General features: G+C 38.1%; 1 protein-coding gene across 6 annotated transcripts in view; it reads left to right on the top strand.

Moving 5' to 3' along the window:
* The window catches only part of MYO1D (myosin ID), a 384,603-nt gene that overhangs the window by 82,708 nt on the left and 284,755 nt on the right, over positions 1-17,140 (top strand). For 5 of the 6 annotated variants that reach the window (XR_001752521.3, NM_015194.3, NM_001303279.2 and 2 more), the window contains exons 2-3: positions 13,633-13,841; positions 15,844-15,937. Coding sequence is in view for 5 of the 6 variants with exons in the window: in NM_015194.3 (NP_056009.1) it covers positions 13,633-13,841; positions 15,844-15,937 (303 nt within the window). In the remaining variant the exon portion in view is untranslated. Of the gene's footprint in view, positions 1-7,624; positions 7,723-13,632; positions 13,842-15,843; positions 15,938-17,140 lie in introns of all 6 variants that reach the window. The other variant, NM_001411088.1, reaches the window with a different exon arrangement.

Raw genomic sequence — 17,140 nt, 5'->3', positions numbered from 1 at the left:
AGCATCACCTAAAAACGTATATATCAAAAACAGTTGTTTTCCATTGCAGAGGAAAGGTAAGATAATTCATCTAGGCATCTCCTGACCACATCTTCTGGTTAACTACCATTTGTGCAGCTCAAATGAAGAAATATTGCACCAGAAGAAGAAAGCCAAGAAATGAAGTCACAACGTCAGTCATTTAATCCACCACCTGTGGTCCTAACTAGTTCTTATGTCCTGTGGTAAGCCTAAGCAATTTTACTGAAGGCATTTGGCCTTAGAGGGTCCCCATGAACTGCTAGAAGAATGCTTTATAAACATGAAGCCAAGCTGGATCACCGTTCGCTGTGCTAGCAGAAGTAACCCTCACTGTGATGTTAAACAGAAACATAGCACTGATGCCGCATGCTGAACAATGGGTCTCAAGTGGAAGAAAGATATTTCCTGCCATTCTTATGACTTCTGCTATTGCTCATAATAAAAATACGACTTGGTATTATTGTGCTGTTACCATGTACTAATTAGTGTGCTGAGCACTTTATGCAGAGTATCTCACTTCTTGTAACAATCCTCTGAGGGAAAGGTACTATATCAGTTGAAGAAAGTGAGGCACAGGGAGGTTAAACAGCTTCCACGTGATCATAGAGCTAGTCAGTGCTAAACTGCAGCCAGATCCCAGAGTCCACCTTCTTAATCAATACACCCTTTCCTCTGCTATCGATGGGCCTGGGAATACCCATATGCTGCACTGATGGGCTGTGGTGGTGGTTCTTAAGTGCTGTCTTCCAAGTTGTTAATTCTAGGCTTCAGTGTGTTAACAAAAGATCAAAATAAAGCATCCTTTTCCAAATCATTTTAAGAAAGTGTAAACCAAGAAGTGGTTAGAACTGTCTATGTGGAGATTATATAATTGCATAAATAATTCAAATGTCAAGCAATACAATTTTTAGGAAGTCTTCTTTGAAGCCTCCCACTCCTAAAGCTGGTTTAGGTATCCTTCTCTAAGCTTCCATGACATTCTTTCTATCTTTGTTATTGCCTTAAATCTTTTCTGGAACAGAGAGAGAGATTGAGAGACAGAGGAGAATGAGAACAAGAAGGGAATAAGTTTAAAAAAAAAAAAAAAGCCTAGTTTTTAAACCCTCTATCGTTGTGCTTACTGCATAGCATTGTCTATTTATATAAGCCTTTGAGTACAATAATACTATGTCTTATTCTTCTAGTAACTAGTAAGTGTCCATGTGCCAAGTACTATGTCAAGAGCTTGAGTGCTGCACTGGTGGACTGTGGTGGTGCTTCTTAAGTGCCCTCTTCCAAGTTGTCAATTCTAGGCTTCAGTGTGTTAACAAAAGGTCAAAACAAAGCATCTTTTCCAAATCATTTTAAGACAGCTTGAGTGCTCTTGACATAGTACCTGGCACATGGACACTTACTAGTTACTCAGATGTTTATAAATGCACACAATCAGTAACTGGCAGAGCCAGGGTTCAAACCCAGGGCTCCAGTGCTGTATGACTCTAAAGCTCATAATTGGAGACCAAGGTAGGGGGATCATTTGTGGCCAGGAGCTCCAGACCAGCCTGGACAGCATAGAGAGAACCTGTCTCTACAGAAAAATCAAAAAATTGGCCAGGCATGGTGGTGTACACCTGTAGTCCCAGCTATTGGGGAGCCTGAGGCAGAAGAACCACTTGAGCCCAGGAGTTTGAAGTTACAGTGAGCTATGGTCATACCACTGCACTGTAGCCTAAGTGACAGAACGAGACCCTGTCTCTAGAAAAATAAAAACAAAAATAAAATAAAGCTCCTACTCTTTCCAACATATGGTCCCTGTCCATCTCAGGAACACACAGTCTAACAAGGGGATAAAACTAATTGACTCCATCACATGGAAACCATGATTTTTGCCAAGAGAAGCAGAAACAAGATGCTTTCACCCTTGGGAGAGATTCTCATCTAAGAACTGGCAAGGTGGGCTGAACCTTATTGAAAGTAACCTAATGAACATTGCATAAGTGTAGAAAGGGGTCAAAGTTTTGTGTATTTTGAAAATAAAACTCTGTCCTTTCTAAATAGGCCAGTATCGTTGGTTTAAAAACCCACACCCATGAAACAGAAAGTCTCATACATTATAAGCAGAAGTTTAAATTGGTACAGTCTCTTTGGAGACTAATTTGGCAATATAATTCATAAATTTAAATTGCTTATATCCTTTGAACTAATAATTTGAATTCTAGATGTGCGTTCTACAGATATACATACACATATGCACAAAGAAATAGCTACCATTGTATTTATACTTGCATTGTTCATAGTAACAAAACTAAATGTCCAATAGGGACTGATTAAATATATTATTGTATAATCACCCATGAAATGGAATACTATGAAGCCATAAAAAACTCGGCTTTTCTCTATCTACTTACATGAGACTTTTGCCAAGATAAACATTTTAATTAGAGAAAAAAAAATTGCCATTCATTCAAAAACAACAACTAAACTGTTTCTAAATGAATTCACAGGAAACCAGCAGCAGTGGTTGCCTCTGAGGAGGGAAGGTATAGGAAAGAGGAGAGAGAAACACTTTTCACTGTGTATTCATTTACATCTTTTGAGTCTTTTACTAAGAGTCTATCTTGCCTATTCTAAATTAATTAATTAACTATATAAAGAGGATTAGAAGTTGGATTTTTATTATCAACTTCTAATTTTGATATAATTTCAAATTTACAAAAAAGGTAGACGATACTACAAGAAACCCCCTTTTGTTCTTTATCAGTTGTTTACATTTTGCTCTATTTGCTTCTTAATTTCTCTTTGTATATTTTTATATATGTATGTAGTTATTTTTTGTAACCATTGGAGAATAAATTGGAGACATCAGGCCCCTATCATTAAATAATTCAGGGTGTGTTTCTTAAGAACAAGGATCTTCTCTTACATAACCACAATACAGTGATGAAAATCAGAAAGTGTAATTTTGACGCAATTCTGGTTTCTAATTCATAGCTGATGTTCAGATTTTATCAGTTGTCCCAACAATATCCTTTTTTTTTTTTTTTTTTTTTTTTGAGACGGAGTCTCGCTCTGCTGCCCAGGCTGGAATGCAGTAGTGTGATCTCGGCTCACTGCAACCTCTGCCTCCTCGGTTCAAGCGATTCTCCTGCCTCAGCCTCCCGAGTAGCTGAGATTACAGGCACGTGCCACCATGCCCAATTAATTTTTGTATTTTTGGTAGAGATGGGGTTTCACCATGTTGGCCAGGCTGGTCTCAAACTCCTGACTTCAGGTGATCCACCCACCTCAGTCTCCCAAAGTGCTGGGATTACAGGTGTGAGCCACCATGCCCAGCTCATTACTGACATGATTTTAATGCCCATGTGGTCCCAGATGGGTGCAGTGAAAGTCCATTCATCTTGCTCCTGTGTCCTTTTGACATGTGCGTTTCCTACTTTCTGGCTCAACAAGATAGTCCAAGCTCATTTTGTACTTTCCCTGTTCCAGTGATAGAATCCGCTTTTCTTCAAGGAGCCCTGAGTCCTTTTAGTTAAGAAAAATGGTATTTCCAGGCCTTTATCTGGTGTTACTGTTTCTCTAAGTGGACAGAGTTAGGAAATGTGTGTGTGTGCATACCTATTTCTTCCTCTCTCCCTCTTCTCTCTCTTTGCCCTGCATATACTATGAGTTTGTACTGATTCTTCCAATTCCAATTGAGACCCATATATTCTGTGACCTTCTTCTCCAGCAATGAAAAGTCTGTCTCAGAAGTTGAGTTGGAGTAGATACCATTTAATTGTATTTTTCTAGAATAAAAGTTGCTGTTTGTATCTAGATTGTGTGAAGTTGTCCACATAAAGAGAAGATCGTTCTGAAGATAAAACATGAACAAGATAGATATGTCCTCTATTCCTTTGCAGGTAGACAATAAACAAGTAAACAAAAAACAACTTGTGACCGGTATTACAAAGGAAACATACAGGTGTGGAATGATGGGGGATAGAGAAATTTTGATGGATAAGGAACTTGTGTGAAATTTAGGAAACAAACAGGTGTGGAATGATGGGGATAGGGGAATTTAGATGAATAAAGGCCAGTGCACACAGTAATCAGAGGTAGATGGCATGAGATGAACCAATGTCTGTGTGTCAGATTGGCTTGAGATTAAAGTTTCCCATTGAAAAGATTTAAGGCTAGGAATGCAGAGTAAGATAAGATTTATATTTTAAGATCATACTTGCTACTGTATGGGGAACGGATGGAGAGTGGTTTGAGCAGATCAGTTAAGATGATACCTGTGACAGTGAAGATACCTGAGGTTGCATATTTTTGCTAACACCGTTCACTATCAAAACTCTTGCTCTATATAGGTGAAGAAGCATATCTTATTGTTGATTTGATTTACATTTCTTTATTTGTAAGGAAGAATGAGACATTTTTATTGAATTTATTTTAGTATAACTAGTTTTATTCCTACGGTTACTGTAACAAATTACCACAAACCAGGGGGGCTTAAAATAAAGAAGTGTATTGTCTCACAGTTCAGAAAACTAGAAGTCCAAATTCAAGGTGTCAGCAGAGCAATACCCCCCAAAACCGTCAAGGGAGATACCCTTCCTGGACTCTTCCTAGCTGCTGGCAGTGGTCGTCAATCCTTGGCTTGGCTTGACTTGTGGCTGCATTCTTCTTCTAGTCTCTGCCTCTGTCATTGCACAGTGTTCTCCCTGTCTCTCCCTTCGTGGGGCATTTTTCTCTTTTATTGGTTTCAGGTCCACCCTAATGACCTCCTCCTAACTTGATTTCACCTGCAAAAACCCTATTTCCAGATAAGGTTACATCCACAGATACTAGGGGTTAGGATTTCAGTGTATCTTTTGGGAGAATACAGTTCAACTTATGACAGTAATGATGTGTGTTTTTTATTTTTCCAAGTGACTAGCCCATTTTCTAACACTGTTTATTGATGTTTATTGTTGGTATATTTATTTACTGTTTTGAAATGTCACCATTATCAGATACCTCACATCTGTGACAGACTCACAGCCAACATCATACTGAATGGGGAAAAGTTGAAAGCATTCCCCGTGAGAACTAGAACAAAACAAGAATGCCCACGTTCACCACTTCTATTCAACATAGTACTAGAAGTCCTGGCCAGAGCAATCAGACAAGAGAAAGAAAGAAAGAGCATCCAAATTGGAAAAGAGGAAGTTGAACTGTTGCTGTTCACCAGAGATCTGATCATATACCTAGAAAACCCCTAAGACCCTTTATCAAAAAAGCTCCTAGATCTGATAAACAAATTCAGTAAAGTCTCAGGATATGAAATCAGTGTACACAAATCAGCAGCACTGCTATATACTGACAATGGCCAAGTAGAGAATCAAATCAAGAACTCAGTCCCTTTCACAACAGCTAAAAAAACAAAACAAAACAAAAAACAAAAAAACTTAGGAATATACTTAACCAAGGAGGTGAAAGATTGCAAGGAAAACTACAAAGCACTTGTGAAAGAAATATTAGATGGCACAAACAAATGGAAACATATCCCATGCTTATGAATGGGAAGAATCAGTGTTGTGAAAATGACCATACTGCCCAAAGCAATCTATAGATTTAATGCAATTCCTATCAAAATACCATTATCATTTTTCACAGAACTGGAAAAAAAATCCTAAAATTCATATGAAACCAAAAAAGAGCCTGCACCCCCAAAGCAAGACTAAGCAAAAAAACCAAATCTGAAGGCATGACATTACCTGACTTCAAATTATACTGTAAGGCTATAGTTACCAAAACAGCATGGTACTGCTATAAAAATAGGCATGTAGACCAATGGAACAGAACAGATAACCCAGAAATAAAGTCGAGTACAGCCAACTGATTTTTGACAACTGGGGAAAAGACACCCTATTCAGTAAATGGTGCTGGGAAAACTGGCAAGCCACATGTAGAAGAATGAAACTGGGTCCTTATGCAAAAATCAACTCAAGATGGATCAAAGACTTAAATCTAAGACCTGAAAGCATAAAAATTATAGAAGATAACATAGAAAAACTCTTCTAGACATTGGCTTGGGCAACGAATTCATGACTAAGACCCCAAAAGCAAATGCAACAAAAAATAAATAGATGGGACCTACTTAAACTAAAAAGCTTCTGCACAGCAAAAGAAATAATCAGCAGAGTAAAAAATAAAAAAATAACAGATATTGGCGTAGCTATGGTGAAAAAGGGAACACTTTTACACTGCTAGTGAGAATGTAAACTCACCAGTACAACGACAGGATGGAGAATTACCATTTGATTCAGTAATCCCACTACTGGGTATCTACCCAAAGGAAAAGAGGTCATTAAGTGAAACAGACACACACACACACACACGTTTATAGCAGTACAATTTGCAATTGCAAAAATATGAAACCAACCTAAATGCCCATGAACCAATGAGTGGATAAAGAAAATGTGGTATAGATACACCATGGAATACTACTCGGCCATAAAAAGGAACAAAATAATGTCTTTTGTAACAACTTGAATGGAGCTGGAGGCCATTATTCTAAGTGAAGTAACTCAGGAATGGAAAGCCAAATATCATATGTTCTCATTTGTAAGTGGGAGCTAAGCTATGAGGATGCAAAGGCACAAGAATGATATAATGGACTTCGGGAACTTGAGGGGAAAGGGAGGGAGGTGGGCGAGGAATAAAAGACCACATACCAGGCCTGGCACCGTGGCTCACGCCTGTAATTCCAGCACTTTGGGAGGCTGAGGCTGGCAGATCACGAGGTCAAGATATTGAGACCATCCTGGCCAACATAGTGAAACCCTGTCTCTACTAAAAATATAAAAATTAGCCAGGCGTGGTGGTGGGCGCCTGTAGTCCCAGCTACTTGGGAGGTTGAGGCAGGAGAATCGCTTGAACCCAGGAGGTGGAGGTTGCAGTGAGCCAAGATCATGCCACTGCACTCCAGCCTGGGCGACAAAGTGAGACTCCGTCTCAAAAAAAAAAAAAAGAGTACATACCTGGTACGGTGTACACTGCTGCTTGGGTGACAAGTGTACCAAAATCTTGGAAATCACCCCTAAAGAACTTACCCATGTAAACAAAACCCACCTGTTCCACAAAAACTATTGAGGTAAAAAAAATTTAAGATTTTACATATAAATGAGATAATACAAAAAATTATTTTGCTTACTTTTCTCCACCTTTTCTTCCTGTCTCCTTCTATTTTCAGCAGTGTCCATTCTCTTTATGTCTTTTAATATGACCTTTATTACTGTGGATTTTTTTTCTCTCTTCTGGTTTTTTTCTTGAGCTCTTCTAGCTTTTTATCTCTTGAAAAAATGATTTTAAACACAATTTCTCCTTTTAAATGATGCCTTCTTTGATATCTTATTTTAGAGAGCTACATTTTTTTTTGTATTCTTTGCTTTCATACAGAATGTTCTTTCATAATTTTTCTACTTTGTGGTTTTCTTTGGGGGAGTGGGGTATTCTTGGTCTGCCTTTTGCCTGTCAGATGTTTTACCCACTACCTACTTTTTTTTTCTTTTCTTCTGACATCTTATCATGTGCCCCATTCTGGTTCACTTCAACTGACCGTCTTTTTTCTTTTTTGACGGAGTTTTGCTCTTTCACCCAGGCTGGAGTGAAGTGGCGCGATCTCAGCTCACTGCAACCTCTGCCCCCTGGGTTCAAGAGATTCTCCTGCCTCAGCCTCCCAAGTAGTTGGGATTACAGGTATGCGCCACCACTCCCAGCTAATTTTTGTATTTTTAGTAGAGCCGGCGTTTCGCCATGTTGGCCAGGCTGGTCTCAAACTCCTGACCTCAGGTGATCCACTCACCTCAGCCTCCCAAAATGCTAGGGTTCCAGGCGTGAGCCAGTGCGCCCGGCCTAATGATTGTCATCTTTGAGTAGGTATGGTTCATTCTGGGTTGAAAGATAAAATGCACTGAGTTTGGTGGTCTGCTGCTCATTCCCTGTCTCACCAACTGTCTGCCCTGAAATGGCAAGAAGATTGCCTAACTAGAAAGCAAGTTCCCTATGTATGTCTGAGACTTCTGGGAGGTGATTTAGCATTGCCTCTTTTCATTTATCAAGATCATCTGCTGCAGAGCCACTGCACTTTTTCTCTTTTGCCTCACCACTATGACAGCCTGTTTTTTTTTAAAAAAAGGAATTTCTAGTTACTTCTTCATTTAACCTCACCTTACATATACTTAGAAGTGTCAAATGGGACTTATTTTGTTCCAAAGCCACCTGCATACTGAGACCCTGACATTCTTAGCAAGACTTTTGGTTTGGCTACTCAGGAACTGCAACCTACTTCTGGAGAACTCTACTCCAGTGCCGGAGATTTGGAGAGGCATATATTCAGTCTTAGCAACCTGCCTCAACTAGGTCTAGTTTTCATAGCTTTTCACAATCTTTCTTCCTAGATTGTGGTTCAGAGTTGTGGCTAGTTTTTTGTTTCATTGTAGGCGATGTCTTTTTCTGTTTTTGTTATTCTTGTTGATTTTCTGAGGGTAGAAAGGGGGCCAAGATATCATTACTTTATCCTCCTTAAATGGAAGACCCTTGAATGGTATTTGAAGTGATACTAGACTCAACCCTAGAGAACTGGAATATTTAGAGATCAGCAGAAAAAGAGGAGTCAGCAAAGGAGACTGAGAAGGAAAACCAGAGAAGCAGAAGGAAAATGAAGAGAACGTGGCTCAAAGAAGCCAATAGAAGAGTGTGTTGAGGAAATGGGAGTCAGTGTCAAATACTGAGAAATTAAGTAAGATGAGCATAGAAAACCAACCAGTGAATTTAGCAGTTTGGGAAGTTTGGTCAAGGTTTATTGAAGTGCAGGAGTGGAACCTAAATTGGAGTTGTCTAAGGAGATAGTGAAAGGCCAAAAAAAATGGCATGGGTAGATGGACACCTCTCCTGAGAAATAGGAACGTTCATGGTAACTTAAGATTCCATTTAAATTCAAAAAGGAAGGAAGACAGGCCAAATCAGTGTGATTAAGCAACACCTATTCAGAAAGTGTACGTTCCTCCTCAAGTAAATGAATAATACTTACGAATAAGGTTTTGTTAATACCATACCTAGTAGACCATTCACAGAGAATTTTCTTCCTGATTATAATTGGTTCCATATATTTCAAGAAGTCAACCAAGGATAACACTGAATTCTGTTAGTGGGTGAATCTAACTTAGACGCTTCAGGAGTACATTTGAGATATGGTCATCTGAAATAAATTCCTTTTTCTCTTCTGCCTAACTCAAATATATTTTTGTCCCTTATGTTCAGTAGGTTTTAAGATTCTGTCCAGTTTCCCCGTGAAACAACTCCAATTTTCCTTTCCTCATTTCTCCTACCATTCCCCCCACTGAGCACCTTATTGATGTCTTTAACTAGAAAAGTCTTCACTGATTCCTTGTTTCCAGTCACATCAAATGTAAACTCCCTCAAATGTAAACTCCCTAAGCCTGGTTTTCATATCATATCAAATCTGACCCCCATGTACATTTCCAACTGTTCCCCAGCATTCCTTAACACAGCCTTCTACTCTGACTGGGCCAACCACCTTCCGGTTCTCCATACCCCACCCCTCCCCACAGTATCTTCCTTTTCTGTGGGGTTGTGCATGTAGTCTGCCTGTGACTGATCTGAAGGAGCCCCTCTCATCTTGACTTCCTACTATAGATTGTCCTATATATAAGTGACACATGCAAATTAACAAGGCTACTTTAAAAAAAAGGTTTCAGAATTCCTTTACAGTGAACTATTGTTTGCCAATGTCATTATTATACCTTTATATTTTATCCATTACTACTCACTAATTCAGAACTTTTTAGAACCTCTTTGTTTCACTTAAAAGCCAGTGAAAATATATGTCCCTTTTAATAAATATTTTTAAACTTACTAGTTTAAAAAATCAATTGCTATTAATTTATGTTAACCATTTAGGAAGTTCTAAAAAGGAAAAAAAAAAGGTAACAGAGCAAAGACCATAAAACTGACGTTGGAGGTAGAGTATTAAGAGTGACTCCATAGAGGACCTAGTGCTTAGACTTTTGGAGAAGGAGAGGGAATCTGGCAAGCACATGGGGAAGAAGGAACCAGGAAAAGGTGTGAGGCAGAATGAACTCCATGGGCAAAACCATGAAGACATGGCGCTCTTGGGAACTGTAATTAGCTCATTAATGAGAACAAGAGCAACAGAGACAGAGAGAAGTGGTAGGGGAGGTTTTGGTGGGTGGAAGTGTTGTTGGTAGATGGAAGTCAACAGAAACCCGGAGGCCAGACCCTGTATGCTCTTACTCTTAGTGTTCCTCACTGAAGGTGGTTTATTGGGATAATCTTTGTCACTACAGTACATGCTTTTATTACCTTACCTATCATACTATATTGTTGTTATTTATGTACAATGCTTTCCTGTTCTCCACTCCTTTTTTAATTCCCAGGGTTTGACCCGGTATCTGGCACAAAGTAGATACTGAATAATTATAAAAGTTTGTCATGAAAGGTTTGCACACAGAAGTCATAGGAACACCTTCCTTGGTCTCTTGTAAGAGATGATAACATCCTATTTGTCATCTAGGATAATTAGTAGTTCTTCCTGGAGGCAAACAGAGTAAGCGACTATATTACTTTAGTGCTTACTTACTACCCTATGGCTTTCCAATGCAAACTGAAATTTGAGTTGCTGTTAAGGTGTATATTGGCACCACCTAGTGGTGATTTTTAAGACCCAACCAAATTGAAAGTTTTGTATTTGATAACCAAACTTAGAATTTCAAGTAAAATGAGCTTCTAACGTTTTGTGAATTGCTGAAGCATTGTATTTAATATCATATTCTGTTAATATTTGCCACTATCTTTGAGTTAATAGTTATGCATTCAATTATTTTCTTAAGACATGAGATCTTGCTGTGTTGTCCAGGCTGGACCCAAACTCCTGGGCTCAAGTGATCCTTCTGCCTCAGCATCTCAAATAGCTGGGTCTGCAAGCATGTGCCACTGTGCCAAGCCATTTAATTATTTTATACATGGTGCCTATAGGTTAATAGAAAATATTTTATTTGTAATAAAATATTATTTTAGAGCATAATGGTCTATTAGTGGCTCTAAAAATTATCCAGTGAAAAAGAAGGTACATCATTGGACCAACATGGAATCTTAAAATAGTCTAATCTCATACATAATTTGCTGTGACTCTTAGTTGCAGAGTTCCCGGCTCATGAGACATTCTTCTGCTGCTTTTCTTCATTTTTTTTTTTTGTTTGGACAGTGCTTATTCAAAACTAAACAATCGTGCCCTTTTGATTCTTTTCCTTGGAGATACTTGAGCATGTACTGCAAATTTGCAGGTTAAGCCAGAAAAACTTGCGTAGTGAATCTTAGCTTATTTTCGCGAGTCTTTGAACAGTTGTTATATAGATATTTTGCTTGTGACTTGTAGTTGACTGACAGCTGAGTCAGGGAATTGGATTTTTTTTTTTTTAAGATGGAGTCTCACTCTGCTGCCCAGGCTGCAGTGCAGTGGTGCGATCTTGCCTCACTGCAACCTCCGCCTCCCAGGTTCAACCGATCCTCCCGCCTCAGCCTCCCAAGTAGCTAGGATTATAAGTGTGCACCACCACGCCGAGCTAATTTTGTATTTTTGGTAGAGATGGAGTTTCACTATGTTGCCCAGGCTGGTCTCAAACTCCTGGTCTCAAGTAATCCACCTGCCTTGGCCTCCCAGAGTGCTGGGATTATAGGCAAGAGCCACTGCGTCTGGCCAGAGAATTGGATTATGATAATTGAATTCATTCATTCCTCATGTGTAAGGATTGTTGTGATTTCAGTAGCAATGTTTATAAAACAAAAATGTTATTTAAAAATCTCCCTTATGCATAACATAATCAGAAGCATACTATTAATGATCTTTTTTAAAAAGTACTTATTCAATGTCCGAGGGTAGAGGGGTATAATTATGACCATTTTACAGATGAATAAGCTGAAACACATGGAGGTTAAGTAGCTTTCACAAGGTATCACTGCTATTGAGTTTGCAATGTGAGCATTCAAACCCAGATGTAAAGGACTCGAAATCAGTGCTTTTAGCTGCCATGTAAACTTCCTAACAACTGAGAGGATACATAGAAAACCCATAGTAGAAAAATGCACTGAAAACCTTGAAGTAGTTAATAACTGTTAAAATACTCTAAATACTTGATAAAAATCTTGGTTTGAATTTATTGTTGAAATTATCAACATCTGTTTGTTTCCATTCCTAATTATAGCCAACAGCCTTCATTCCAGCTTAAAGGAAATTTAAGGTTCTTGCTTTTTGGTCCCAAATGCTTAGTTATTTCTCCTGCTCCACCAGCCATGAAGCAAGCGTGCTTAGAGACATGCTGTCTGTGAACCAGCATTTTGCCTGTCAGGGCACACCCTTTGTTCAGTTCTTGGACGTGAGAGAGATGTCTACCAGTATCTCTCAGCTGGTAGAGCATGTTGGTGGTAACCACTTGTTATGTGGAAACATCTAAGCTCTGGGCCACATATGTTTCTATGTGTGGATTACTGTGTAAAAACAGTGGACATATATGGGTTTTCTGAATTTTATATTTAAAAATTTTCTTAAATAGACACATAAAGTTGCACAATTGCAGTCATAGCATACCTACTCAAGCTTTGTATTTTTTTTTTTTTTTTTGTCCTGTGGCCTCTTCTCACCTGCCCATGTGGCCTTCCTCTTTATTTCTCTCCTTCCACATAACCCTACTGTGTGTATAAAATGATGCATAAAATATAACATGTATTTGTCTATATTTTTTCACACTTATGTACTCATTTATAAAATATATCTGTGTACAGATACAAATACGTATGATTAGATTTTTAACCCTATTTTATGGGGAAAAGGTAGAATCATATTATATATACTTTAAAAATACACATGCCTTTCAACCAGCTGTCCCATTCCTGAGAATCTATACCACAGAAGTAAAAGCACCAATCTGTAAGATTATGTATCAAGAGTGTTTTCTGCAGTATTGTTCATAGAAAGCAGGAAGGAACAGGAATCGTTGAATATATAATGATATATCGACACCATGGAACTTTAGGCAGTCATAAAAAAATAAGTTTGATTTAGAGCAGAAGTGTCTCCTCCACCATTCTCTCTGTTATGGATTTTACTGTTTATATTAATTTACTAACATTTTAGTGAGGTTCAAGAGGGAGAAAAAAATAAATGTATATGACAGTCCTCTTTAAAATTGAAAATCTGACTAAGTGGATTTCAAGATCTACTTTAACTTCTATTTCTTTTCCTCCTAGAGCTCTGAGATTGTCTTCAACTCTTTTTAGCTTTTTCATCTTCTTACCCTTCTGTATTTTGGAAACAGGAAATCCCAGCCTCCAACAAGTTAAATTCTTCCTTCTTGCCTGGCTTTTAACCCCTACTGGTCTTTTCTACCAATGGCATCTGAAGGGGCACAGCCTCAAACATTCTCTACAAGTTAACTCAGAGCCAATGAAACGTCAGTTCAGAAATCATTCCTAGGATATTTGGACTTCCTTGGAAATAAGAGACTCACAGGACAGATACATCATTTCTCTGTAACCACAGCTACGTCTTCCTTTTCTTTTGCTTCTGTACAGATTTGAAAAAGGGCGCATCTATACGTTCATTGGAGAAGTCGTCGTTTCTGTGAACCCTTACAAGTTGTTGAACATCTATGGAAGAGACACAATTGAGCAGTATAAAGGCCGTGAGCTGTATGAGAGACCGCCTCACCTTTTTGCTATTGCGGATGCTGCTTACAAGGCTATGAAGAGGCGATCAAAAGACACTTGTATTGTGATATCAGGTAATTGGAGGGGATCCCCTGTATTTCCAAAGTCACAATGTGTTTAATTTGTTTGATACTCAAGAATCCAAACAATTGATTAAATATTTTTTTAAAGGTAGAAGCCTGAGCAATTCTATAGGAGAGAGAAAAGTGATGAACGTTAAATACCAAATTATTTATATCATTTCTGATCATCCTCTAATCTTGGTTCATTTATGAATACATATTACACTTGGATGACTTCTGGCCAATTTGTTAGATTGAGCTGACATGGAAAATGTTTCCATCTCAAACACATAAAAGTCTGGATAAAATGTAACAAAATTATTTTAAATAGCAAAATGAAACCAACGAAAATGAAATATTGAGGTGTGAAAAGGAAGAATCAACTCAAAATCAGACTGGTGCTTGGGAACTAGTGTTGAGGGACCTACTGAGGCGTGGGGGCCAAAAATAAGCTTTCAGAGCTGAGGGGCTGAGTTATTGAAGCCCAACAAGGGGGGAGATAGGCACGAGATAGGGTACACACCTCACATGTTTGAGGACTGGAGCCAAACTGCCTACGTTAAGGGGAGCCCTTCAAGGACCCTTATGTAGTGAAATGGGGACAGGAAAAATATCTGTTCACTGACCCAGGATGGCCTCTCCCAAATTGTGGGAATTTCTTCAGGTGCTAATAATACCTCACATTTGCACTGGTGGTTTTATGCTTTTAGAAACACTTTTATAATCATTATTCCATTTTGGTGAGCAAAACAACTCTCTGGTATGTAGAACAGTTATTTTTCTACTTTATAGATAAGAATATTAAAGGTCAGAGGAGTTAAGTAACTTAGTGTTGGAGTTAGAAAATTATATCCTAGGACTATGTTTTATTTAAAACAAATCACAAAAACAGTATTACTGGGTTTTAAAGGGGAGAATAAAAACAATTATATGAGTGTGTGGAGTAAAAGCAAAACGTTTCTTCGCCTTGAGTGCCTTATTCTTCCCAAAATTCCAGCAGTAACAGCTGTTAACAGTTTAGTGTTTATCCTTTTATACATTTTCTCTGGATGTGCAAACAAATACAGTCATAATTGCATGTGTAATTATATTATAAATATATAATTATATATAGAATTATGTCTGTTATATAACTAATTTTTCCATTTAATAATATATAGTAAATATCTTTTCATTGGTGTTTCTATAGAGCTAGTGCATTCTTTTTAATAATTGTATAGTATTCCATTTAAATAATTGAATCATAATTTATCCAGTTATCTACTGATGGATATATAATTTCCAGATTTTAGCCATGACTTACAGTACAGTCTATAGAAATGTTTTAAAAGCTTTGAACATTATTATTATTTGGTTATGTTAGTATTTTTTAGTATTTCCTTAGGAGAAATTTCTACCAGTGGAATTTTTGAGTCAGAAGGCATAAGCATTTAACATTTCGAAGATACTTCAAAATTGGTTCCTTTTTCCCCATCCCCCAGCATTATCCCAATTGTCATGCTTTTTCTATGATACCTTGTGTCTGGAGCTTGCTGTTTTGTTTTTTCACTAAAATTACTCTAACCTTAATTTTTTAGACGAATTATTTTGTCCCCTTTAAGATTAAAAGAAATTCTCTTATAGAAAATAAGATTATATGAATTTAGTTGTAACCACTGTTTGACTCACTACCTTATTTCATTTCTGCTAGACTTATGAGTCCCTACCAAGTACTAAAACTTTAGTCTTAGTTTACCACATCAGTACCTTTTTCCTAAGTAAATCTTTATTTGTAGTCTACTCATTATTTTAGTTTTATAATAGTTTTATTTTCTTCATCATATTCAGGTCTGTTAGAACCACTAACCATATCAAGGCAGGACGAAATAACTCAAAAAAGCAAAAAAATGAAACAGTGCAACATGTGGGATTTTAAATGCATCACCAGTATCAGATTTTTAAATTATTCTATTAAAAATTAGCTTACTCTTGGTTTAAATTATTATGTTAAGCCCTGAACAATTTTTCCCCCCAGGGGAAAGTGGAGCTGGTAAAACGGAAGCCAGTAAGTACATTATGCAGTATATTGCGGCCATCACCAACCCCAGTCAGAGAGCAGAGGTTGAAAGGTAAGAGCACTCTAATAATGGGGAGGAATTCTTAGCACTCTGTTTTCTCTATGGACTTGGCTAGACCTAAACTCTAGGGGTTGAGCATTTTGGGGGTCTAAACCTATGGGCTGAGCATTTTTTGATGATTAAGCTACTTTGATTCTCTTAAGTGCATATTGTCTCTGTACTTTTATTTATTTCACTGTATCCATTTCTAGATTTGTTTTTAATAGAAAAATAATACTATGGTAAGCTTTACCTAATTATGAGACCAAAAGAATCATTACTCTGAAACAGTTGAAAGTGTTCCCATCCTGGTTTATTACTGTTGACTTAAATGTGGTCAGCAGAGCTGTTATAATTTACACTGGTAGGTTTTATTGTTCAAACTCTCACAGGTTCCTTGCTCTTTGCACCACATCAGGGTTTTTAAAAAACTGTGTTCTGAGAGAAGTGGGACTCTGGAAGGCAGACCCATGCCTTCCCATCATCATCATTACAACATTCAGAATCCACTGACAGTGGAATTTCTGAACAAGATTCATTTTCTTTTTTTCTTTTTTTGAGATGGAGTCTCGCTCTGTGGCCCAGGCTGGAGTGCAGTGGCGCGATCTCAGCTCACTGCAAGCTCCGCCTCCCGGGTTCATGCCATTCTCCTGCCTCAGCTTCCCGAGTAGCTGGGACTACAGGCACCGGCCACTGCGCCCGGCTAATTTTTTTGTGTTTTTAGTAGAGACGGGGTTTCACTGTGGTCTCGATCTCCTGACCTCGTGACCCGTCCGCCTCGGTCTCCCAAAGTGCTAGGATTACAGGCATGTGCCACCGCGCCCGGCCGAACAGGATTCATTTTCTAAAAGGATTTCATGCCATACTGTGCTATTGCTCATGGGAAGATGAGTAATAAAGCTGATCTCTACTGTCTGGGGCCCAGCATTTAGGGGAGCAGCTGGCACATAGTATTTGCTTAACAAATACTTAAGGGATGAATGGATGATAGCTATAAAGCAACAAGACTCACTTTCTTATGTGGTGCAGCCTTTTTGAAGAGAGAAACTGTTTTCCTAATTGGTTACTTCAAAGCTCAGTACTAATTTAGTAAAGAGTCCCACCTCATCTACACATAACAATCTTCAGTTTTATAAATAGGAAGAAAGGATATTGGGTTGATGTAAAAGAAGAGAACTTACACTTCACTACCCTGCGTAGCCTTTCTTCTTTTCA

This window comes from Homo sapiens, chromosome 17 (genome assembly GCF_000001405.40).
Source record: "Homo sapiens chromosome 17, GRCh38.p14 Primary Assembly".
In the NCBI taxonomy this organism is placed as follows: Eukaryota; Metazoa; Chordata; class Mammalia; order Primates; family Hominidae; genus Homo; species Homo sapiens.
This window is presented reverse-complemented; position numbering and strand designations above follow the sequence as displayed.